Raw genomic sequence first — 26,705 nt, 5'->3', positions numbered from 1 at the left:
TTAGTGTAGTTAAAAATTATTCACTAACACTATGATTTCTTTTTCAGTTTGTTCCACTTTATTTCATCTTCATTTTTATTAAAATGTAATTAATAGAATCTTATAAATAAATCTGTTTTGTCTAATAGATGAAGATAGCTGAATTTTCAAAAGCATCAAAGATTTAAATAACTGAGTTTGTGGTTTTCACTGACACCTTTATAATTAAGAGATATTAAGAAATTACATACTAAATAATGGCACGTTCCAAATAAGATTTGTCTTCCCTTCCAAGTGGTGAATTCAGCAGTATTTAGGACAAGCACCGCGTAATTTGAACACTAGAAAAATGTCTGTCTCCTTCTTTCATCAGCTTACATTTTAAATGAATTATTCACAGCTGTCTGTTTCCATTCTTTAACTGTAATAAAACTTTGCCATTTAAAAATTAGTGAAGAATAGTCAACCACCTCTCTCCCTATAAACTAGCCCTTGTCCATATTTTCAGCAAAAGTATGTCTATTAGCATAACCACTGGATGAATCTAAAATATTTTTAAACAACATTTGTCTAAAGACATTTTTAAAAGTTTAATGCCTGTGCTCTACTCTTTTCTTGACCTGTTTTTTTGGTTTTTCATTATTTTTGGTATTTTTTGTTTGTCTATTTGTTTACTTTTTTTTTTTTTAATAGAGATGGGGTCTTGCTATGTTGCTTATGCTGGTCTTGAACTCCTGGCCTCAAGCGACTCTTCCACCGTGGTCTCCCAAAGTGCTCAGATTACAGGCATGAGCCACTAAACCCAGCCTATTTTTGGTACTCTCATCATTCCATTTTGACTCTTCTTTCTTTTACAACATCCTTTACTCATTTTCCCCTGGGGAGGTTTTTGAGTTTAAATTTAACAAGAAAATTAAATATGATAGTGTATATTTTTCCTTGAGAAAGTACAAGTTTGGCTCAAGTATTTGTCTGAATAAAATGCAAATACTCAAAGCAAATAACAAAATTTGTTAAGGGTCTGGAAGTTTACCCCACATACAAACTAAGAAATTACTTACACATTTTTATGGCTGTTGGATGAAGCTACAAGACCCCTGGGCCAGAGATGTAGAACTATTTATTACTTACAGTTATGGGACTACTTATTACAGCAATTGCACCCATTCCCCAAGCCCCAGTTCCCACATGGTAACTTGAAGAAAACCAAGCCACTGTGGGTTTTGTTTAAAAGGAAAAAATCCTGAGCTTAGGGAACTCAAATACTTTATAATAGGCAGTAAGCATGCTGGCCTATTGCTCTTGAGGGAAATATTCTTTCTGTCTTTATGTCTCTCCCTTTTTCTCCCCCAAGGCTAGTCAATAATGCAAATATCCTTGAAAAGATAATCTATAACAAAGGCATTCTCTACCTCTTATCACAAGACATACAGAAACTTAGGAAGTCCATAGAGAATTGCCTCCTACTAGTGATCACATTCCTTGTACATGCCATTATGAATTCTGACTCATGTGGTGCTCTGTACTTACTCTCAACAAATTTAGGCAAAGGATATATGAGGTGTTCAGCAGTGTTTGTTGGATAAATGTGAGCTGTCTCAAATAATTTTTAGTAAGTAGAGTTTGTAAAAATAATAAGTAATTATAAGTAAATATATTTGTTATTTTTCCTCCAGTCCTACACATCATATTCCATTAAAACATGCTATACTCTAAAAGTAAATATTTACTCACTGACTCCAAAATATCCTTTATTTTATTTTCTTTCCATTTTCTTCTGTTAAACACACACACACACACACACACACACACACACACACACACACACACACATCCTATCTTTCTCTTGGCCAGAGAATACCTACATTATTACTAAAAGTTTAGCTATGTAGTGAATGGTTACAGATGAGTAGCTGATATTCTGTTAAATATTCAAGGTGTTCATAGCCCCCAAATAAGTTTTTTTCTTGTTAATCACACTTCTCTTCTTCTTCTCCTTCTCCTTCTCCTTCTTTTTCTTCTTCAGCAAACCCAAAAATCCACCTGTTAAGTCTAGGGAAAACCAAAGAAAGTTAATATAGTGGTACCTTTTTTTTTTGGCAAAACTACTCTATTCTTTAATGATATGAAGCAGTCACACATATCTGGCTACTGCATAAATGTTAATAGTGTCTTAAGTAGACTTCTGAATTAACCCTGTGTTTCAGACAAGACAGTACAAACTCAATCCATCTCAGAAAGGAATCCATAGTAGTTAAAGAAGGAATTTCACAACATTCTATAGGAATTCCCGAGCTCCAATAGTTCTAATCTTTTCAAAATCCTCCTTTACGTGAAACCCAAAATTTTTCTTGCAACTTATTAAAGCTCTTTTATTACACATAACTCTGATCTTCCCGCCTCTTTCTGGTCCCACATTCCACTTGGATTCTCCATACTCTCACCGTGGATTCCATGTATGTCTGCATGTTCAGTGGGCTGAGCCCTGAAATGTGTGTATCTGGCATTGAGCCTCTGATGAGAGACTTTCTATTTCCCTCAATGCTAAACTCCCTCCTCTTTTCTGGCATCTCTTGTCTGCAACCAGGGAATGGGAGTGACATCACTAAACATGTAACGTGTGTTGTGCTGTGGGGTCAGCTAAAGGGTAATTTCTAGGAAGCATGCCTATTCAGAAGACAAACTAGTGTTGGCACTGAGCAGGGGCACTTACTTAGCAAAATGATGCATTTGAGATGACATTTCTGCAGAGTACATAGTGCTGGCGATCTCACACACCAGCCATGCTAACAGTTGGCATGCTAGGGTTCTTTGGGCACCTCAAGTGGCTTCTTCATGGATGAGAAATAGCAAAATAACGAGATTTAGCTAAGGGTTCATCTTGAATGAAAGCGAATACGTGCTGTCAAATGAAATACTCTTGGCATCCTGAAAAGCTTTCTTCTAGCTCTGCACCTCAGAGTGAATGTGCCCAGATATTTTTCTTTGGGACGTTTTAAGGCTAAAACCCAGGCTGACCCTTGCAATAAGCAATATTCCTTCTCCTAATCCAAAATGGGTGTGGGGCAGGGGAAGCAGTAAGAACAATATGTTGAAGAAGAAGAAAAAGAACACAAAATAATATATCTCTAAAACCATCATCCAGTCTATGCAAGTGATGAGACCTAAGGATAAGCTATTAAATAATTTTATCAGTTTATCCAGCTTTTCCCCCACCCCTCACTCCCCACTTTTCTTCCCTGCCCTGCATTGTTTTTCGCATGCCATTTATTTACCTGGATAGTCTTCCCTTCTTTTCAGTAATCAAAATCCAACTCATCTTTAAGTGTCTAATTCAAAAGTCACAATCCATAGGATGGCCAATACTAACAAGAAGTACTTATTCAATAAATTTATTTGAGTGCCTACTGTTTCCAAGAACCTGGACATAGAGCCCTGAAGAAAGAGATGCAGTTCCTGGCCTTAGGGCATGGCAGCATCGACTCCTCTTCCAAACTCCTACAGTCTTTACTGTACCTCTGACTCATTTGTGAGGTGGGATATACTTCTTTGTATTGTGAGCCAGTTTTTCAAGAGTGACCTCTCATTTTCCCAGCCAGATGAGCGGTAACTTATGTGCAGGGAGTTGGAACCAAAGCTAAAGCAGAAACACCTCGGTTTGAATCTCAACTTTGCTATCATTATTTTACCTCTCTGCAACTCAGCATCCTTTCGGATTTCCCCAACTTTTTATTTGGAGAAATTTCAAGCCTGAAGAAAAATCGAACAATACAAAGAACACCCTATATACACGTTACAGAGATTCATCAATTTGTTTTACCTTTTTTATTTTTTTAAGAGATAGTCTGTCTATGTTGCCCAGGCTGAAGTTTAGTGACACAATTATAGTTCATGTAGCCTTGAACTCCTGGGCTCAGGAAATTCTCCCGCCTCAGCCTCCCGAGTAGGTGGGACTACAGGCTCAAACCACTGTGCCTAGCTAATTCAACATCTGTTAACATTTTGCCACATTTACTTTTCCCCTCTGTCTCTCTTTCTCTCTCTCTCCATGTGTGTGCATACACACACACCCCTGCAACATTTGATAGTAAGTTGCAGACATTAAGACACTTCACTTTTAAAGACTTTAGCATGTCGCTTATAATATCAAGAATACTCTCTTACACAACTACACATCATTATCACATTTAAGACCATGTTTTAAAATTCCCTTTTGTACCAACAATGTTCCTGATTGTTGATTTCAGTCAGGAAGACAACAGGGATCACGTATTGCTTTTGATTTATCATTTGTCTTTCATCTCTTTTAATCTAGAATAGTTCTCCTATTTTGTCTTTCAAGACATTGACAGTGTTGAAGAGTTGTTTTTAACAGTTGTTTTGAAAAGTTGTTTTGCAGAATGTTCCTCAAATTTGATTTGCCTGATTATTTATTCATGATTCGACACAGGTTAAATATTTTTGGAAAAATACAGCTGCAGCTTTCTTATCTGGAAAAATGAAGATAATAAGAATGCAAATATACCTAGAAGTTTTGTGAGGAATGTAAGCCTAAAATAAAATTCTAAGCGCCCCCCCCCCCCACCGACCGACCAATTGAATACACCCCTCCTCTTAGCCAAAGGCTTTCTTAATTAACCTGAAAAACTAGTGCAGGCCATGATGGGAAGAGGGAGCTGGACATGCCTCATTATACCCTCCTCCCTTTGGGATCCAGGCATAGCTGACCAGCATTAACACCAAAACAGAGATCTTAAGACGTCTTGTAGCAATGACAGCAAATTCCAGCCTGACTTTAATATAGCATCACATGACAGATAGCAGGCCTTGAAAGAAGTCCAAGTATTTTATCCTAAAATATATTTCTTTGACATATTTTGTTTGTTTGTTCTTGAGATGGAGTCTCGCTCTGTCACCCAGGCTGGATTGCAGTGGCTCAAACTAGGCTCACTACAACCTCCACCTCCCAGGTTCAAGCGATTCTTCTGCCTCCGCCTCCTGAGTAGCTGGGACTACAGGCATGCACCACCACACCCAGCTAAATTTTGTATTTTTAGTAGAGATAGGGTTTCACCATGTTGCTCAGTCTAGAACTCCTGACCTCAGTTGATCTGCCCGCCTCAGCCTCCCAAAGTGCTGGAACTACAGGCGTAAGCCACCGTGCCCGGCCTCTTGGACATGTTTTGAAATGCCCTGCAAAGCTGTTATGGGGAAAGTCTACATTCTGTAGAGAACTCCTTTCCCTTTCCAGGTCTTTTCCTCCATCCAGTAGAGAATTACTTGAGTCTGGCATCTTTTTAAGTCTGATAAGAAACACTTACACAATCTATTCTCTCTGAAGCCTGCTACCAGGAAGCTTTATCTATATAATAAGAACCTAGGTCCACCAGGCGTGGTGGCTTACGCCTGCAATCCCAGCACTTTGGGAGGCCGAGATGGGCGGATCACAAGGTCAGGAGATCAAGACCATCCTGGCTAACATGGTGAAACACTGTCTCTACTAAAAATACAAAAAATTAGCGGGGCGTGGTGGTGGGCACCTGTAGTCCCAGCTACTCGGGAGGCTGAGGCAGGAGAATGGCGTGAACCCGGGAGGCGGAGCTTGCAGTGAGCCGAGATCGCGCCACTGCACTCCAGCCTGGGCGACAGAGCGAGACTCTATCTCAAAAAAAAAAAAAAAAAAAAAAAAAGAACCTAGGTCTCCACAACCACTTATCTTAACCCAGACACTCCTTTCTATGGATTCCAGATCTTTAGATGAACTCTTTTAATCAGTTGACATTTGGAAAATCTTTGAATCCATCTATGACCTGGAGCCCACCGCCATCTTTCGAGTTGTCCCACCTTTCTGGACTGAATCAATTTACATCTTATATGTACTGATTGATTTCTTATGTCTCCCTAAAATGTGTAAAATCAAGCTGTAGCCCAACCACCCTGGGCACATGTCATCAGGACCTCCCGAGGCTGTGTCATGGGCATGTCCTTAGCCTTGGCAAAATAAACTTTTAAATTGATTGAGATGTGTCTCGGATACTTTTTGGTTTACAGAATTAAATGAAGTAATGTAGATAAAACAATAGGCAAATAGTAGGTCCTCACCAGATGTTGGGCTCTCTCCACACACTTTATAATTTTTCCTTAGACCAGCAATTTGGCCTCAAGGTTATTTCAACTCAGTGAAATTTTCCAAGGAGGGAATAGAGATTTCCCCCGGGAAAACACTTTTTGGGCACGTACATGGCTTTGTGGATGAATGTCTTTGGTAGGCCTACTTCGAAATGCTGCCATCCTTGGATATTCTAAGAAAGATGTCAGGCCAGACACAATGAAACTTAATTACCTCAATGATAGAAGTAGAGCTGAATAAATAAAACTGTGGTTTCAGTAAAATGAACTAGAGTTACATAGAAAATTTCTGCCTCAATTCTTATGGTTAAAAAATGTTTCTGAATCTGTTTGTCTACTTCATTTCAATATTGCAAACAAAAGTAATACTTCTTTAAAAGTTGGGGTTTTCCAGCATCATCCTTAGCAATAATAGTTTTCACTAAGCAGAACTGTAGATGGAAGCGGGCCAGGAAATTGGGCTTAATATGTACTGCTCCAGAACCACAATTAGGAACCCCACTTTAAAAAAACTTATCTGGGTTATTGTCATGGCATTGCTTCTTTTTTAAACAGAAAAAATAGTACAAGAGGAAAAAATCCAATTATTTGAAGGCTCCAGTTAGTTGAGTTCCATGCAGCTCACTTCCACAGTCATTAGTCTACTGGGCTATAGCTGGGCAAACTTCAACTATGGAGAGATACTCTCTGATCATCTACCTGCAGTGTGGTGGGTCATGTCTCACAGCATGTAAATCAGTAACTGCAAATTACCCATATTTCAAACAAATGGGTATTTGACAATTTAATAAAGTACTCTGTCAACATGAGAGTTAACAACATAGTCAAACCAAATAAAACATCAAACAAACACAATTATAACTAAATTATAAACTGATTAGGTCTCTAATTGTTTCCTGGGTATATTTCTTATGCTTGTGTAGGCTCCTTGTGGAGTCTATGGGGCTGTGTCTTTTCTTTGATTTTCTCTAAAAAGCCTACTATGATACAACAAAATTATGATGTGACATGTAATCAGGCCTGATTATGACTTTTAAAGGCCTAAGCATTGAAAATTTTCTGGTGTTCCCTCCCCCAATGTATGATTTAGCATAGAAACCTTGCTAAAATTCATATAGTCATTACCGACAGGGATATGTTCTGAGAAATTCATCATTAGGTAATTTCATGATTGTGCAAACATCATAAAGTGTACTTGCACAAACATAGATGGTATAGCCCACTACACATCTAGGCTTATGATACAGCTTACTGCTCCTAGCCACAAACCCCTATAGAATGTTACTCTATCGAATACTGTAAGCAGTTGTAATATAATTGTAAGTATTTGGGTATCTAAACATAGAAAACTACAGTAAAAATATGGTATAAAGGAAAAATGATACATCTATACAGTGCAGCTCCATTATAATCTTATGGAGCCACTGTTGTATATGTGGCCTATCATTGATCAAAACATCATTATGTGGTGCCTGACTAGCAGCTATAACAAAGTCCAATAGAGTCTCATTTTTGTCTTTCATGAAAATTACTTTGATGTTTATATATCAATTTCTTGAGCAACCCTAGTTGTTTCTTTTTTCATGCTCCTATTTTATTGATACTTTTGGAATGTGTAGCTTGCCTATTGGGTAATCCAGGATTGCTTATAATAAAACAACATAAAAAAGTAAGCACAACACAGGGCATTTTATATACCAGTGACCTGGGACAAATGTCAACAACAGGTTCCACCCTAGGTCACTTCTCTTAAAGGAAACGCTTCATTAAGGTATCAGTACACTATTGATTAGCCATAATAGTCAATTTGTTCTGGAAAATAAAATTTCCTGGATGATGTGAATATCATCACTAAGATATGCAGACACTAACCTCTCCTCTTAATCTTGCCCAAGTCAACGAAAGTCCTAGAAATTGAAAAGTTTTAACAATTTATATCATTTTATTGTTGTATGAATTTACTTAGAGTTGAAGATGCCTAAGAAAGAAAAAAAGCAACAAAGGGTTCAGTGTTGTAAAATTTACTTCTACTGACAGAACAGTTTTTATTCCATTTTCATATTCAAAGTATCCATGTGTGTTATAGTTCCCCTCAGGCTGATATAACCCATTTACCAGCAAATTTCAAAGTTAGAGTGAACTTTTCACAGCACTCTCATTGCAACTCTTGGTTTTCAAAAGCCTGTGTCACTATTTGTTTTATTTTTGAAAGCAAACATCTCCTATCAAAATTCTCATGCATCATCTAAACTGTGTATCTCATTGTGGTTGTGTGCAAATACACCGAGTTTAAAAACAAATATGATTTTGAATGACACTGTGTTGCCCTAACAAAGGGAACACTGTCCATCTTCCCTGACAGCTTTCCTCTAATTAAAGAGGCCCTGATGCCCCACAGAATGCCAGACTCCTTAAACACTCCCCTCCCACCCGCTGCTTTCACTGCACAAACAGTAGAGAAAACAATTTGTAGCTTACTGGTCTCCTTCCTAGAAGAAAATTTAATAACATCCCAGAAGAGATGTAGAAGCAAAATTTCCTGATGGGACATACATTACTTCTTTTAAACTACTACTGGCTGTGGGATTTGGTTAGAAACAGGGCTTTCTTAACCACCATCTCTGAGCTGTCAGTGTGGAGTTGGCCTCATTTTTTGTTTTTAACAATGGCCTCTCATTTATTTTATCCACACTGAGAAATCATCTTTGACATTCCATGTTCAAAAATCTGCCTCTACAAAAACACAAAAGCTGAGAGATTATTTCAAGATAGAAAGGACAATGTCAACTTTTTCACTTTTGAAATCTCATCTTCAGGTGGACATTTTACACAGCAAAGATATGTACCAAAGATGTGCTGGTACACACTAACCTGTGTCTATACTGTGGCCACATTGTTCCACATCAGAGCTTACAAGGGAAAATTTTTCTCTGTTTCTCTAAGTTTAATATAGGTCTCTGTTTACTGAAGCTTCTATCTAGATCACGTTGCTTGTGCACACATATCTATACACTGTTATAGAAAGAATGCAATAATACCCAACATAGCACCACCCTGTTTCTTTTTCTTTTTTATTTATATAGGTTTTTTGGGGAACAGGTGGTGTTTGGTCACATGAATAAGTTCCTTAGTGGTGATTTCTGAGATTTTGGTGCACCCAACACCCAAGCAGTGTATACTGTGCTCAGTGTGTAGTCTTTTATCCTTACCCCCTCCCACCCTTTTCTCCGAGTCCCCAAAGTCCATTGTATCATTTGTATGCCTTTGCATCCTCATGGCTTAACTCCCACTTGTGAGTGAGAACATATGATGTTTGGTTTTCCATCCTTGAGTTACTTCACTTCGAATAATGGTCTCCAGTTCCATTCCAAGTTGCTGTGAATGCCATTATTTTTTTTTATGGCTGAGTAGTATTCTATGGTGTGTGTGTGTATATATATATATATGTGGGTGTGTGTATTTGTGCGTGTGTGTGCATATATATATATATAAAACAATTTCTTTATCCACTCATTGATTGATGGGCATTTGGGCTGGTTCCATATTTTTGCAATTGCAAATTGTGCTGCTATAGACATTCGTGTGCAAGTATCTTTTTTGTATAATAACTTATTTTCCTCTGGGTAGATACCCAGTAGTGGGATTGCTGGATCAAATGGTAGTTTTACTTGTAGTTCTTTAAGGAATCCCCACACTGTTTTCCACCGTGGTTGTACTAGTTTACGTTCCCACAGCAGTCTAAAAGCATTTCCTTTTCATCACATCCCTGCCAACATCTATTATTATTTTTATTTTTTGATAATGGTTATTCTTGCAGGAATAAGGTGGTATCTCACTGACACCATCCTGTTTCTACTTTCTTTCCATTTCCTTATAAGAACTGTTTACTCAGTTAGAGGCAAACCATAACACACTTTGAGTTAGGCAAAAGTAATAGCAATAGTAACACTCTACATTTATACTTTATAGATTCCAAAAGAGTGCATTCATATTCTGTCACTTGGCCTTCACAGCAAGCTGTGAATCATACAGCTGGTAAATATCAAGGGGTAACATTACTGGGTATATACCCAAAGGATTATAAATCATTCTACTATAAAGACACATGCACACATATGTTAATTGCAGCACTATTTACAATAGCAAAGACTTGGAACCAACCCAAATGCCCATCAATGTTAGACTGGATAAAGAAAATGTGGCACATATACACCGTGGAATACTATGCAGCCATAAAAAACAATGAGTTCATGTCCTTTGCAGGGACACGGATGAAGCTGGAAGCCATCGTTCTCAGCAAACTAACACAGGAACAGAAAACCAAACACTGCATGTTCTCACTCATAAGTGGGAGTTGAACAACGAGAACACATGGACACAGGGAGGGGAACATCACACACTGGGGCCTGTCGCAGGGTGGGAAGCAAGGGGAGGGAGAGCATCAGGACAAATACATACATGCAGAACTTAAAACCTGGATGACGGGTTGATAGTTGCAGCAAACCACCATGGCACATGTATACCTATGTAACAAACCCGCACATTCTGCACATGTATCCCAGAACTTACAGTAAAATAAAATATATATATATATATATATATATATATTAAGGTGTAATACAAAATCCAATTTTCATGCTCTAAATCAAGGATCAGCAATCTTTTTTCTGTAAAAGGCCAGACAACAAATATTTTAAGCTTTGCTGGTCTCCCTTACGAAGAATCAACTCTGCCATTGTAGTGCAAAAGTAACCATAGACAGTATCTTAATGAATGAGCGTGACTGTGTTCCAATAAAACTTTATTTCTCCTAAACAGATAGTGGGCTGGATTTGGTCAGTAATTTGGACTGTAATTTGTCAACTTCTATTCTAAACCACTATGCTTTAAAAATCTGAGAAGGTAGAAATCATAAGACATTGACAGGTAAAAAATATTACTGGGCTTCAAAGGAGGGAGACATTATAGCTTGGGTTACCAAAAAAGGCTTTATAGTGGAGGAGGTGATTTAGTGGGGTTTGAAAGATAGGTTAGATCTATCTACATGTGAACACCAGAGCTTTGGGTATCTCATGCAAAGAGAATAATGAGAGTAAAATTATGGAGACAGGATATGGAGTGGGGTACATAGAGTAAGAAGAGATAGTTCAGGTTGACTGAGAAACAGATATGTAGACCAGTGAGATAAGAAAAGTGGGGATTTTGTTGGATGCGATGGCTCACACCTATAATTCCAACATTTTAGGAGGCCAAGGTGGGAGGATCACTGGAGGCCAAGAGTTCAAGACCAGATGGGCAACATAGTGAGATCCCATCTCTTATAAATAAATAAATAGATACATAAATAAGAAATGTGGGCCTTTCATTAGATAAAAATATCTGGAACTGAAAAACAAGAGTTTTATTTCATAGAAAATTGGAAACCACTACATGTTTGTGAGGAGAGGGGTGGCATAAGAGAGGGAATAGTTATATATGTTATGCTTCTTTATGATGATGAGAGACAGTTGTGCCAGAGGGGTCAAGAATTAACCTGGGCCATCATGAGTGAAGATGCATTTCTAGTCATTGCAGTAAACTAATCTGACTGGAAAGGGCCCCAGTGAAACACTTGAAAAGTTTCCCCCACTAGAGTAATGAAATGAGAAGACATGTTCCCAACTGCCTACACAATGAGTGGAAAAGGATCGACTGCAAGAATCGGAATCTCAAGGCTAGGTGGTGGATTCAAACTACTTGCTCATCACCTGTTAGTCAGGAATTCAGGCTGGGCTTCGCTGGTTGGGCTCCTTCTGCTCCACTCGGGGCTGGGCTCATTCACTCCCTTGCTTTCAGCTGGTGGCTCCAATGAGCTGAGTAAGATGGAGAGGGCCAAGAAATCTTCACTTTCATGTTTAATTCATTGATATGCCATTTCCCTCTATATGTAGACAGCATGAGCTTCTCCACCACATAGTGGTCTCCAGTTAGTTATGCTTCTAACACGATGACTGGCCTCCAAAAGGGAGCTCTCCAAGTAGTGAAAGCAAAAGTTGGGAGTCTCATAAGGCCAGTCTTGGAAGTGATGCAGTGTCATTTCTGCCACATTCTGTCAATCAAAGTCAGTCACAGGCAGCTCAGAATCAGGGGAAGGGATCATAAACTCCACCTCTTGATGGAGGAGTGGCAAGATCACATTACAAAAGAGCTATTGGGAGAGGGTCTATTGTTGTGGTCTTCTCCAGAAACACAATTTACCACAGAAGTTTAACATAAAAATTAATCTAAGGCCAATGAAACCTCCAGGGACCTGGCAGAGGCAAACCCCAAACCACTTCTGTAGTTCAGGCCTCATGGGGGTCCCATGGTAAACAAACCTTGTTGAAAATGTGCTTGTGATCAAAAATTACAAACGACATAAGGAAACAGGACACAGATACAGCAGAGAGCAGAACTGGCACACCATCACCTGGAATAATGGAAGAAAATGAAAGAGATTTAGAAATAAACATGATTAACATGTCCAAAGAGCTAAAGGTAGAAAATATTAAAAAACACATAGGCATGCTTGAAAAGGATGAAATTGAAATCATAGTGACAAAAAGTATACTCATTGAAATAGAAATCCCAACACAGGTGACAAAGAATTAATGAAATGTAAGATAGACCTAGGGAAATTATTTTAGCACAAGTGCAGCACAAATAAAAGAGATATTAAAAACATGAAATATCTAAGGGATATTAAGATACTAAAAGGTTAAAATAAGAGTCTAATTCATACATCTAATAGGAATTCCTAAAGGAAGGAATGGAGAGATTGGAGAACCAATATCCAAAGAGAGTGTCTGAAAGCTTTCCACAATTAAAGAAAGAAGTCATTATATTTAGTAATAAATCATAGCAAAATTTAAGCAAAATAAATAAAAATACAAATACACAACAAGACACATCTTACTGAAAATGCACAACATCCAAAACAAGAAGTAAACAAAGCTCCGGGGAGAAGAAAATAAGACACGGTAACAATGGAACTGACAGTCTTCTCAGCAATAATAGGTAGATAATAGAATAATGTATTTTAAATGTTGAGGGAAAATAGCTATCAATCTAGAAATCTTTGAGTATGCAACTGTTGTTAATAATTAAGGCTAAATAAACCCATGTTGTAAAAAAGACAGAAACCATCCGATCAGAATTTTGTTATTTAACTTTACTGCAACATGCTTTATATACAATAAAGTACAGCCATTTTAAGAACACTGTTTGATCGCACTCTTGTAACTACCACCACAATCAAGATACAGAACATTTCTGTCACCACGAAAGGTTTCCTTTATTCCTTCCCCAGTCAATTTCCCCACCCCACCCTTGGCCCCAAGTAACCACTGCTCTGCTTTCTGTCACTATAAATTAGATTTATTTTTTCAAGAGTCTTTTAAAAAATGCTTTTAGACTGCATGTAATCTTTGTGTCTGGCTTCCTTCACTCTGCTTAATGTTTTTTGAGATTCATCCATGTTATGTGTATCACTAGTTTATTCCATTGCACAGAAAAGAAAACTGATGCTTCAATATTAATTCCAGACAAAAGAAAACTTAATCAGAAAGTACTGTTAGGGCTAAAGAGGGGCTGTATATAAGAAAATTACACCAAGAGAGTAAAATAAGCATGAATGCACATGTTTCTGTCACTAAAACGACAAAGCATTTAAAGTAAATCTGATAAAATTACAAAGACAGTCCAAGTGCAGTGGCTCATGCCTATCATCCCAGCACTTTGGGAGGTCAAGGCAAGAGGATTGCTTGAGCCCTGGAGTTTGAGACCAGCCTGGGAAACATAGTGAGACCCTGTCTCTACAAGAAATTTTTTAAAAATTAGCCAGGCATGGTGGTGCATGCCTGAGTACCAGGTACTTGGGAGGCTGAGATGGGAGGATGCTTGAGCCCAGGAGGCTGAAGCTGCAGTGAGCTACGACAGCCACTACACTCCAGTCTGGGTGACAGAGTGAGATATTGTCTCAAAAAAATAAAAAAAGAAGATAGGAAATTTAAAATAAGAATGGAGGCTTCCCTGATAAAGTCATCAGTTAGTTGACTCTTACACTGTTATATGCTTAATCATGCTAGCAAATCAAAGCATAATCATACTGGCTCCACTTGAAACAATATTAGTGGAAAGGGTATTGATATGAAGGAGTTAACACTATTTGTCATTTTCTAGGCCGTTGGTAACCATGCTTTTGCGGAAGATTTAAAAACAGTGGGTTGCTTTCCCTTTACCATAAAATAAAGACCAAAATGACCAAAAAAAAAAAAAAAATAGACAGCATTAACTGAGCATTTGTCGGGCAATATGTTAAACACTGTACCTGCATTCTCTCTTCACTTCTTGCATCAAGTTTTTCCTCAGTTTCATGGAAGGAAAACTGAGGCTCACAAGGGGTGGCTACTGAAAAGCAACACCAGGACTTCAACCTGTGTCTAACTCTAGAATCAACTTCTAATCCTACTAGACCATACATATTATGTCAACCCAACAACAGCAGTTTACAAATTTCCACCATTAACTTCCCCTTCTGACAGCAGAACACATTCCTGACCTGAATCCCTACTAAGCCACTGGCCAGTTCATTCTTATTCAAACTGTGGAGCAAACACTCAGCTGGATTATTTCTCACGTAAAACATTCCATCTGCAGAGAAGCAAGACTGGCTTATGTTTTTAAAAACAGTCTGCCTGGGGCTGGCTGTGTGATGGAAGTGAGAGGCGGCGGGGTACCCTGGCCGTGGCTGACAATGAAATGCTGGAGAACAGAACTGGGGAATGAGTTGCAGACACAGCACATCAAAGCCACAGTGAGTGGCCTGGAAACAGGCAGCTCAGCGTCACCCAGCTCCTGCTGCTGCCAGAGGAAGGATGCTGCAACGGTCATCACTTAACCACTCTCTGACTGCCAACAACCACAATAACTAACACCTTGCACTGAATTATCATGGACCCTTGTTTCCTGTGACCTCAATCTTACCTTACCCCCTAGATCATCTTCCAAAAACAAGGTATATATTTTTTAAAGGAAGACACACTGGAGTTCTCATATGGACTTTAGAAAGCTGTAAAAACTAGACCCTGAATGAATCTACATGTTTGTATGTTACCTCACCTAATCATAGGTTTATGAAATCAGACCTTTCCATAACGTGAATTATGTCTTACACAAAAGAATAGAAAAGAATAACTCATTGCTATTCTGCAGCCAGCTTGTAATTTTCTGCAGAAAGATTATGAGAAGATATAACATTGTAGGGACTTACATAAAACACAAACCTAAAAGATAAACATTACCTTAGCTTTTGCCAAACACTGTGTATATTGGTCAGCTAGTATGAGGCCTGGCATGTGGTTGGTTCTAAATACATGTTTTGTGATAACAATGAGTAATTATGACACTTTAGAAGGCTTGAAGCAAAACTCTCTGTTGAATTAAGTGAAATGAGTGCTATACTGTGTTTAGATGAGCAAAATAAAGGGACAAATGAGCAATTGTTAAATGAATTTAATCAACCTGGATCATAAACTACCTAGGTTCAAATTCCCATTCTTCTGTTGGACCTTGGGCATGTTAACTGTACTTGTCTGTGCCTTACTCTGCTCTGTAAAATGAGAATTATAAGGCTATCTGCTGGGGTTGTCGTGAGGATTACATTAAATGACACATGTAGGCATGTGTTGTGGTGCCGAGCATGCAGCGAGCACTTGGCAAATGTTGGCTCATGACTTTATTATTATTTCTCTAGGCCACTTTTTCAGTTGTTTTACCTTTATGAATAAAATGTAACCATAGCAACTTCAAATAAACTTTTTTTTTTTTTAATAAGAGACCTCTAAACACTTAAAACCCCAAAGCTGACTTTCTTCCCGTGGTTAATGTGATGGTTAGTGTGGCCCAGTGTTTCACCAAATATTAACTTTTATTCTTCCCTCTCCTCACCCAAGACACTTGTCCTTAATGAAAACAGAAAATTGCTTTCCTAATTAACATTTTCAGAAATATGGCCTGATTATGCACCATTTTTAGTCAAAATAAATAGATATGTCAGAAATGTTCTCATAGGCAGTGGGCTAAAAGCAGCTTTGATTTCAGTGTCAGAAGGACTAGACAGTAGGTTTTTGAGGGAAAGATTTGTTGGTCCACAATGGCTGTAGCTTAGGTGCTTGGCGCAAAGCCTGGCATATGCTAAGCACCCAATAAGAGAATATGTAAACTTCTAGTTGATTCCTCTCTGTCATAGCAAGTGGCTCTCTATGACTTCAACCTCCAAAGATCATGTGGTGTCATGAAAAGAACCTAAATCAAACACACCTGGCTTTAAATCTCCAAACTTTTTCTAGATCTATGGTCTTCAGCAAGATAATCTTTCTAAACTAAGCCACAGTTTTCCATCTGTAGATGGGACAACCTTATAGGATTTCAGTAAGAGTTAGTGATAACAATGGTAGCTTGATAGGGATAGCATTGAATCAGTAAGTTACTTTGGGCACTGACTTTCTTCAAAGAATTAGAAAAAACTACTTTAAACTTCATATGGAACCAAAAAAGAGCCTGCACAGCCAAGACAATCCTAACCAAAAAGAACAAAGCTGGAGGCATTATGCTACCTGACTTCAAACCATACTACAAGGCTATAGCAACCAAAACAGCTATATAGACCGATGGAACAGAATAGAGGCCTCAGAAATAACACCACACATCTACAACCATCTGATCTTTGACAAACCTGACAAAAACAAGCAATGGGTACAGGAGTCCCTATTTAATAAATAGTATTGGGAAAACTGGCTAGCCATATGCAGAAAACTGAAGCCGGACCCCTTCCTTATACCTTATACAAAAATTAACTCAAGATGGATTAAAGACTTAAACATAAGACCTAAAACCTAAAAACCCTAAATAAAACCTAAGCAATACCATTCAGGACATGCACAAAGACTTCAGGACTAAAACACCAAAAGCAATGGCAACAAAAGCCAAAATTCACAAATGGGATCTAATTAAACTAAAGAGCTCCTGCACAGCAAAAGAAACTATCATCAGAGTGAACAGGCAACCTACAGAATGGGAGAAAATTTTTGCAATCTATCCATCTGACAAAGGGATAATATACAGAATCTACAAATAATTTAAACAAGTTTACAAGAAAAAAAAAAACCAACAACCCCATCAAAATGTGGGCAAAGGATATGAACAGAAACTTCTCGAAAGAAGACATTTATTCAGGCAACAAACATATGAAAAAAAGATCATCATCACTGGTCATTAGAGAAATGCAAATCAAAACCACAATGAGATACCATCTCATGCCAGTTAGAATGGCGATCATTAAAAAGTCAGCAAACAACAGGTGCTGGAGAGGATGTGGAGAAATAGAAGCACTTTTACACTGTTGGTGGAAGTATAAATTAGTTCAACCATTGTAGAAGTATGACAATTCCTCAAGAATCTAGAACCAGAAATACCATTTGACCCAGCAATCCCATTACTGGGTATATAACCAAAGGATTATAAATCATGCTGCTATAAAGACACATGCACACATTATGTTTATTGCAGCACTGCTCACAATAGCAAAGACTTGGAACCAACCAAAATGCCCATCAATGATAGACTGGATTAAGAAAATGTGGCACATACACACCATGGAATACTATGCAGCCATTAAAAAGGATGAGTTCATGTCCTTTGGAGGGACATGGATGAAGCTGGAAACCATCATTCTCAGCAAACTAACACAGAAACAGAAAACCAAACACCGCATATTCTCACTTATAAGTGGGAGTTGAACAATGAGAACACATGGACACAGGGAGAGGAACATCACACACCAGGGTCTGTCGGTGGGTGGGGGCTTGCGGGGAGGGATAGAATTAGAAGAAATACCTAATGTAGATGATGGGTTGATGGGTGCAGCAAACCACCATGGCACGTGTATACCTATGTAATAAACCTGCACGTTCTGCACATGTATCCCGGAACTTAAAGTATAATTTAAAAAATTTTTTTTAAAAACCACACATACAACAAAAAAAAATAGTGATAACTAATGTAAATACTTCTTGGACATAATAGTGCACAATAAATGGTATCATTCTTAAATTAACTTCCTGAAGATTTTATCATCCACGGATTCATCTACATTTTAGTTGAGTCTATTTAAATCATGCTTCATCGTTCTCACATTTTTCTATCTCATGTGTTAATGCAGAATGGTGTAGGGTAATGAGCTTACATTCTGGAAACCCACAGATCTGGGTTCAGAGCCATCTCTGACACATAGGGAGAACAGGGAGAGAGTTCGCTCCAAGGGAGCAAAGACAGAAAAAAAAGACCCTGACCTATCATTTACTAACTCAGCGACCTTGAGCAACCAAGGATTTAACTTCCTAAGCCTTGATTTCTTAAATGGAAATGATAGTTTAACCTTAACCCATAGGGTTGCTGTAAGGATTAAATAAAGGCTCATTAGGGCTTTGTTTTATCTTCACATCTCAGAGAGAACCAAGTGCAGTGAACACCTAAGGTAATCAAAAATGGGGGATGAAGAAATCATTGAATGAATAAATGAATGAGAAGGAAGAAAAGGTGGGGGAGGGGGGAGGGAGGGAAGAAGGAAGGAAAGAGCATGCCCCACAGATATTTCAGGACATAAGTACCTTACTTTGAGCTTTTTCTTTCAAAACGTAGGGTAGTGAAATCCTGAGGGCAAATCCTGAAAGAACTCATTTGTAAAAATTAGCACTTCCTATAAGCCTGTCATATCATCCTTACCAGACCTCATTAAGCATTTAGAATACCTTGGAAAAGCACCAAATTCCAAATCATAAAAAAACAGGAGAAAACATTCCCAAGGCAAAAGGATTCTTTTCTATCTTCCCAAGCATCTGTTCCTTCATACTGAAAGATTTAATGCAAAACATATTTCATGTAATTCAAATAATTAACAGAAACAAATACTAAACAAGTAACAGCAGCAAATAATAAATCTCTTCTGATTTCATTACTATTGTTCTAAGCTTTCAATAAGATATAAACATTCTAGTACCCAAATTGCCAGCAAAATTATGAACATATTACCAGTTTTATTAGAAAGAATTATTTGGAAGGAAGAACTATTTGTTTTTTTTTAATCATTGAAGAGCAAAAGAAGCACTTCGAACTGTGTATTTTTTAATAAAAAGAGCAAAAAAAGGAGTTTTGAAATCAATTAAACCTTTTTTGTGGTAGAAAGGGAACACCCAAAATGCATTGAAAATAGTCTATTTTGAGCAGTCATAGTTTTCTTTTTTCTTAAACATATCAGACATAGATTTCACAGCTCATAATTAATTCCCAGTGCCCACATCACCATTAATTTTTAATGAAAGCAGAGCTGCTGTGAGTGCTACTGCTATTTCACCAAGATTAGCAGGGGGTTGCTTCCAGGATGAGAAACCATTATTGGTTCTGCATAACAGAGACTGATGTCTACAAGGATAGCCAGATGCACTCCGCAATCCCAGCTAATTACCCACAGGTGATGGGGACCAAGCTCTGTGTCTTGACACACACACACACACATAAACACACACACACACAAACACATACACACAAATCTAGTTTCACAGATAATTACACATTACACAGGCTAGGGATTTGGGGTTTTATATTCTTGGCAGTGTTAGACTCAGAATGTATATATTGTTAAAAAGCATTTCCTCTACATGTATAAAGGGAATTTTCCACAATCAATTTACCATCCTTATGTTCATAAATGTATGTGTACAGGCGCTCCCCCAGAGAGCACAGTAACCTGGCACCAGGGAGTAAATATGATACAAGTTCACGGAACTTTTCTGACATAAAAATCACCAGACGAGGAAACTATTTCAATGTAGGTTTAAGAAGGCCCCAGGCAAACTATTCTCAAATCCAACATCAAACAACACAAGGCAAAACCAGAAGACTAATACTCAATTTCAAATCAGCTAAGTGTTCTAAGTAAAAACAAGTACTATCAACTAAACAGAAACCCTGCTGCAAGGCAATTAGGTTTAATACCTTTGCATAAAAGGCATAACTTGGTCATTTAGATTTAAACAACTATATAAAGTTCAAATTAATTTCTTTTTGGAAAAGTAATGTCATGTTTATTAAAACCCAACAAAATGTCTAATAAGAGAAGATTAAATCTGGCAAACAGAATAAATCTGGCAAACAGAATATAAATGAAAGCCAAACTGTTTTAACATACATGATGAGATATATACACACATGCATACACACAGATGTATCTTAAAGATATTCACAAGTATATGTAAAATATATATATATGCTCATTAGAGATTTTTCAAAATAGAAGTATTAGTGATAATTTTAATTTTTATGTATTATTCTCTTTATTTTTCAAATTCTTAAAATGAACCTATATTGTCTTTACAGTAAGAAAAAAAAAATCTGGGATCTCCTAGAAGAGGAAAAAGGCTGATGTTGGGAAGGTGGCATGCATGCAGAATCACCAAGGGAGGAACCAGCCTGGGGACAAAGCAGACAGAGAAAAGTACATGTACTTTTTGAGGGAGGAAAGTATGGCAAAAAATAAGAAGAAGAAGAAGAAAAAAGAATAAGAGCCACTGGATCAAGCTGACCCTGAAAGTTACCCAAACTTGAATTTCCAGCTATGTCAATAAATTTCTTATTGTTTAAGCTCATCTGGGTTAGGTTTTCTGTTGATTACAGCCCAAAGCTCCCCAATCGGTGCACTGGCAGAAGGAGATCTCAAACCTACCTCAGTCTGAACCACGTCTGGCTAACTCCGCAGCCTGCATCTCAACCACTATGCCACACTATGTCCCCAGAATCTACATAAGCAGTGAGTTCGTGGCCAACTAATTTGACTGGCCCTTCCTCCAAGATGCATAATTTCCAGCTCCCCATCAATTCCCCGCTTCTAGTTATACCACAGAATGAAGACCAGTCAGTCTTCTGAGGGTGTGGACATGTGGTGCCTCTTCCCTCAGATCAGAATCTTGCTCCAGTCTCCTTCCCTGGCTTGTCTTCTCTACTGCCTCACTCTTCTCATTGCCTTCCTCATGTTTCCTGGTATCACCTATCCCAAGTCGGGTTTGAGAAACCAAAAATAAAATAGACAAGTAGTGTTAAGAATAATCAAGAAAAATGAAACAGAAAGATATGGTGAGAAGGAAGACAGTAACCCATTTTTTTATGTCACTGGGAAAAATTTAAGAAAGTCTTTATGTCAGTAGGCTACGGTGAAGAAAAAAAATGATGTGGATCCTGTTTTATTTTACTCAATTAATCCAGCCAGTATACACTGAACACTTTTTTAAGCTCTGGGAATATAATGGTGAGTAAAACAGGATAGTCTGCCTTTTTGGAGTTTGCAGTCTGTCTGGAAAACAGACATTGATCAATTGATTACACAAATAAATATAAATACAACTGCCTTAAATGCCATGAAGGAGAGATGTGTGGTGAAGAGTTATTGCAAGATGACAATGGGACAATGGGTCAAAGTAACAGAAGATTTTATATATATAAAATATAAAAATTAATTAAAATAAATATATAAATTATATTAATGAAAATAATTAAAATAAATATTAATTAATTACAAATAAATATATATACACACACACATATTTATATATATAAATTGAATCACATAATTGGAGAAGCTGCGAAGTAGAGACCCAGGAAAGCCAGTGGTGTAAACTCTGGTTTGAATCCGAAGGCCTGAGAACCAGGAACTCTGATGGTGTAAGTCCCAGTGTAAGGAAGGAAGAAGACAGATGTCTTAGCCTAGGCAGCCAGATGCTGAGAGTAAAGTGAAACTTCCTCTACCTTTTTGTTCTATTTGAGTCCTCAGCAGGTCAGATAATGCCCTCTCACACAGGGAGAACCATTTACTTTACTCAGTCTACCGATGCAAATTCTAACCTCTTCTAGAATCACTCTCATAGACACATTTAAAAACAATTTTTAATCAGATATCTGGGCATCTTCTGAGCCAGTCACATTGACGCATAAAAAAAGCCATGACAATTACCTTGCAAGGGGAAGAGTATCTGAGCAGTATAACCCTGCCTGCTAGAGTACAGTGTAGTACATTTGACATGGATTGAAAGAAAAACAATTATAATAAACTAACCAGAGACTCTATTTAGACTCACATATTTGTCTGGCTCTCTTACATAAGTATCAAGGAGCTTCCCTCTTTATATGGTTAGAAAAACACCACAGTGAGTAGTGAACCTAGAATCTTCTAAGTCAAAAGTGAGACTGTCATTCTCACACAGCTGAGAAAATTTTCAGTACCAGTGTGTCTCCCATCAGGGATAAAACTGAGAGTCTTATTTTGTTTTATTGTAAACATCTTATAAAATTTCACACAAACAATAAAACTATAAAAATAATAGAGTGAAGATTCATGCATTTGCTATTCAATTTAAAGAATAAAATATTTCAATATAATTTAAAGTGTAAAATACCCATTTGCTTTTCCCTCTGGTCACATTCCCTTTCCTAATGCTCCGAGGTAGCAAGTATTCTAAATGCAGTGATTATCACCATCATGAGTTTCTTTATACTTACTATAAATGTAATATCCCTAAAGAATAGTCTCACTTTACATGGTACTATTTTTTATACTAACATATTGTATATATTCTTCTATGTCTTACTTTTTCTGTTTATTGTTATACATGTGCAGTTCATTGATGTAAATGTAGGTACATCCTGTCTGTTAATTTTCACTGCTACATAATATTCAATTGTATTCATTCATTCTCTTGCTCATGAAAATTTAGCATGTTTCAACTTGAATCAGTCTACCCACAAACATAGTATGTTTCTCCTCTTAAAATAACTGTATATTAATTTTGTCTTTAAACTTGCTTCAAAACCATTCTGTTCGTTTCTGCATGATGTTACAGAATCTGCACTCCACTGGGGTGTCAAAAGTCTAGTTCTGAGATTCTGTATACTTCTGTGTCACTTATGGGCGGCTATTTTGTCCAAGTATAATGGGAATGGATCTCAGAAGTACATCTCTATAGTGATTTTCTCTGTGAATTATTTTTTTTTCTTTGCTACCACTGAAATTACAATAGCATACATGCTTGATTACTCCATAGACTCAGGAGAGACGAAATGCTAGAAGCCTTTGTTCTTATATGGATATAAAGACATGTCAGAAAAGGCTATCATTATTCAAATTCATATGTCTTTCTTCTAAAAGTACTTTAAAACTATATAATTGAATTTATCCTGAAAGTACTTCTGGGAAATAGAGGCACTTTCAGCCCAATTTAATAAGTGACACTGAAGTTTGTTGGATCACCCCAAATCACACAGACTAGCTTTGATTCTTGCTCTAAAATGGCATATCTTCAGCTGAGCTGTCTCATACAGCTTTCATTTTTGATAGAATAGTTAAAGCCCACATTATTGTAAGTTGTGGCACTAGGAAAGCTATTTCAGCAACCGAATCGACCAAGGCTCCAAATCCCCACGGACAGCTTTATCAGTTATGGTCCATTTGTCTGGCAATAAAAGAAACCCAATGGTGTTAACAATAGGGAAATTTATTATCTCACAAAGAAAGAAGTCTAGAAGTAGTTAGTTGATTCAGTGGCTTATCATGGTCATTGAAGAGCCAGATTCTTTTTTACTCTGCTCTCCCTTCCTTATATCAACATTAACCTCAGGCTGGTAGCAACATAGCTGCAGCAGTTCCAGGCATCACATGCAAATACAGCAACATTCAGAGGAATAAGGGAAATATATCTTTATAATCCTCTCTCAGAAATGGTCTTTGGAACTCCTCTTCTGCCCCCACCCAGCAAACTTTGCCTCTAGTTTCACTGGCCAGAGCTGCGCCCCATGCCTATCACTGAACTAAACATGAGCAAGGGGATGAGATTGTCATGTTTCTGCCAATCAGGCCCACACCTAGAGGTGGGATTGGGGTCAGCTTCCCCTGAAATGCATTACTATGTGGGACAGGAGGAGATATCTAAACAAAATCAAGGTTCTGGTAGAAACAAAGAAGAAACGATACAGGTAGGCAACCAAGAGTCCATCAGCATCAATTCTCTTCAAACCCCAGGCTATATACTAAGGATATAGGCTTTATCTCTAAGATTTCAGAGACAAAGAGGTGAATTCCAGTTGTTTTAGCCCCATAACAGATTTTTACAAACTCCAGATCCAACCCCCAAAAAACAACCCTACTTCAATCCCCCAAAACCTGTAGATTTGCAATCTCAATCACCAAAGTGGATTATCAGTATTTGGTTATTCATAGGCCAAAATAAAGACCTTTGACCTGAGTATTCAAGTTAATTAACACTAAGGGTGAACATTTTGTGTTGTCTAGCTATAATGTGGTTTGAGGACTTAAGCCCATTGCTTCTAATGTAAAATGACAGACTAATATTCGACATTCACTTGAAGAACTCTCTAATGTTCAATATAAATTTTAAAGTATATGGAATTAAGTCAAATAACTGGAAACACTTCCTTTCATTCCCCCCCCCTTTTTTTTTCTTTTATTTGAGACAAAGTCTCACTCTGTCACCCAGGCTGGAGTGCAATGGTACAATCTTGGCTCACTGCAACCTCTGCCTCCCAGATTCAAGTGATTCTCCTGCCTCAGTCTCCCCAGTAGCTGGGATTACAGGTGTATGCCAGTACACCTGGCTAATTTTTGTATTTTTAGTAGAGACGGGGTTTCACCATGTTGCAGGCTGGTCTTGAACTCCTGACCTCAAGTGATCAGACCATCTCGGCCTCTCAAAGTGCTGGGATTACAGGCATGAGCCACTGTGCCTGGCCATTTTCCTTCCTTTCCATTCCCCAAGAATGAACTGGCCAAATTAAAAAAATAAATAAAGCAGACTTCAAGTAGGTACTTCAGATTAACTTTGAACATCAGCTATCTTTTTTGAGTGACAGCTAGGTATGTGCCAAATGCTATAGATAGACACATCCAGACAGCCTGAAGGAAACTTGCCTGATCCAACAGTTTGCATATACATCTCTTTTCACATTCAAATGTTCTTAAAAATAAATGGATTTTAAAATGATGCCAATATACCTGAAAATACCAGTTAATTTTAGACAGAAATTTAAAAGACTGCCTCAATTTGATTGAGGCAAGTGTCAAAAATAAGAAAACACCCAGAAAATCTAGTAGTGAGGATCTGGGCAGATACACTGTAAAATCATCTCAATTGTTTCTAGTGCCAGATTTAGATGCCTGCTAACAACTCAGGTCTTTATAAGGAGTCTCCAAAACTGCAAAAGTTTCCAATAAAAGGAAACTTCTGATGCCCATGTGAGTTTTCCATCAATTTCTTCTATGCTGTGATAAGCTTCTGCAAGGCTCAGTTATAGGCACTGTTCTATTACACCCTTTCCCAAGTCTCAGGAGTTTTTCAAAATTTATTTGAAAATACACATGGTCTTCTCACTCTGCTTTAGCATCAGCTCCAAGACAGTTCTGCTTTCATCCTTAAAGAACTTCAACGTGTATTTCTTTCAAATAAAGGCTTGCTGTCTTTCAGAATTCCAAAGTGTTTTTGATGTAAATAGGACGAAATGTCTTTGGACATCAAGTAATGAAACCTGTAGATTTTATCAATGTCCATGGCAATTGGCTGTTTAAAAGCTGTTACCTTGTTTACTTCTGAACAAATTAGAAAAGAGATGCCTGGATGGGGAACCCAGGTGAAATTACTAGATTAGGTTCCAATGCATTAAGAGAGACTTTCCATGACTTCAGAGCCTGGAATATGATTTTAAGCCATTTTACTGGATAATTCCTATGATTCATTTTGCATTCAACCACTGTGTCTGCTTTTTATTTCTCCAGCACACATCTTCCCAAAACTAAATCCTATGTCTTCAATAGCAGACAGGGGTAAGAGAAACATACACCATGTGGCCTTCATGTGAGTCACCTGTGTGACAGGTCATTAAGGCATTTAGGGAGATGAGTGGCAAATCAGGAGTCAAAGAAAGAGGTTACCTGGTATCTGGAAGCGCTTCTCGCTCTTCCACTTCCTCAGCTGCAATTCATTCTCTTCTTTTCTTTTACCTTTTCCTCTCCCTTTTCTTCTTCTTTTTCTCCCCTTTTCTGTCTCTGAAACATGGAAAAACACTTTTGAAAAGCATGTTACTCAGTTAAAAGAACAGATAATACATGGATCAGTTACAGGGTTTGCAGTCTGCTCTCTCCCTCACCTCTCACGTGTACATCCCCCATCTACTAAAAACCAAAAGCCAAAACAAATAAACACAAAACAAAACAAAAACCCTTCTTGGGAAGAGCAGCTCTTCCTCTCTCCCCTCTCTTCCCAACCCCACCCCTATCAACTCCCAGGGAGGTTGGGAGCTGCCTTTGGGTCACTAGATTTCACAAATGAAGATCAAGGTACTTGTTAGAAATAATTAAAATAATGTGCAGAATTAAAGAAGACCTTGGAGGGGAGGGGAGGCCCTGTAAGTCAAGAGCCACCCTCCCGGCCAGGCGCAGTGGCTCACGCCTGTACTCCCAGCACTTT

General features: G+C 37.9%; 1 protein-coding gene across 5 annotated transcripts, besides 1 other annotated feature; it reads right to left on the bottom strand.

Moving 5' to 3' along the window:
- Positions 1-1,713: 1,713 nt before the first annotated feature.
- Positions 1,714-26,705, bottom strand: LOC124904200 (uncharacterized). 5 transcript variants are annotated; one of them, XR_007066173.1, is made up of 5 exons: positions 26,386-26,705; positions 26,171-26,284; positions 12,465-12,556; positions 11,856-11,960; positions 1,714-2,031 (listed from the first exon to the last, which is right to left on the bottom strand). XR_007066173.1 is itself a non-coding variant. In XM_047437552.1 (5 exons), the coding sequence occupies exons 1-4, from the start codon at positions 26,405-26,407 to the stop codon at positions 12,029-12,031; spliced, it is 396 nt and encodes a 131-aa protein (XP_047293508.1). In that variant the 5' UTR covers positions 26,408-26,705; the 3' UTR covers positions 1,714-2,031; positions 11,856-12,028. The 5 variants fall into 5 exon arrangements, 1 of the variants encoding a protein (XP_047293508.1); XM_047437552.1 differs by having other exon boundaries at positions 11,856-12,196; XR_007066172.1 differs by lacking the exons at positions 11,856-11,960; positions 12,465-12,556.
- Positions 14,818-15,318: an enhancer, noted in NCBI's record as "OCT4-NANOG-H3K4me1 hESC enhancer chr1:76518436-76518936 (GRCh37/hg19 assembly coordinates)". NCBI's record gives its function as "activates a minimal SCP1, AML or CMV promoter by ChIP-STARR-seq in primed H9 embryonic stem cells {active_cell/tissue: H9 hESC(primed)}" and the evidence as "EXISTENCE:reporter gene assay evidence [ECO:0000049][PMID:30033119]".

The sequence above is a fragment of the Homo sapiens genome, chromosome 1 (assembly GCF_000001405.40).
Source record: "Homo sapiens chromosome 1, GRCh38.p14 Primary Assembly".
Classification (NCBI taxonomy): Eukaryota; Metazoa; Chordata; class Mammalia; order Primates; family Hominidae; genus Homo; species Homo sapiens.
The sequence above is the reverse complement of the archived record's forward strand: the minus strand, read 5'-3'. Positions and strand labels throughout refer to the sequence as shown.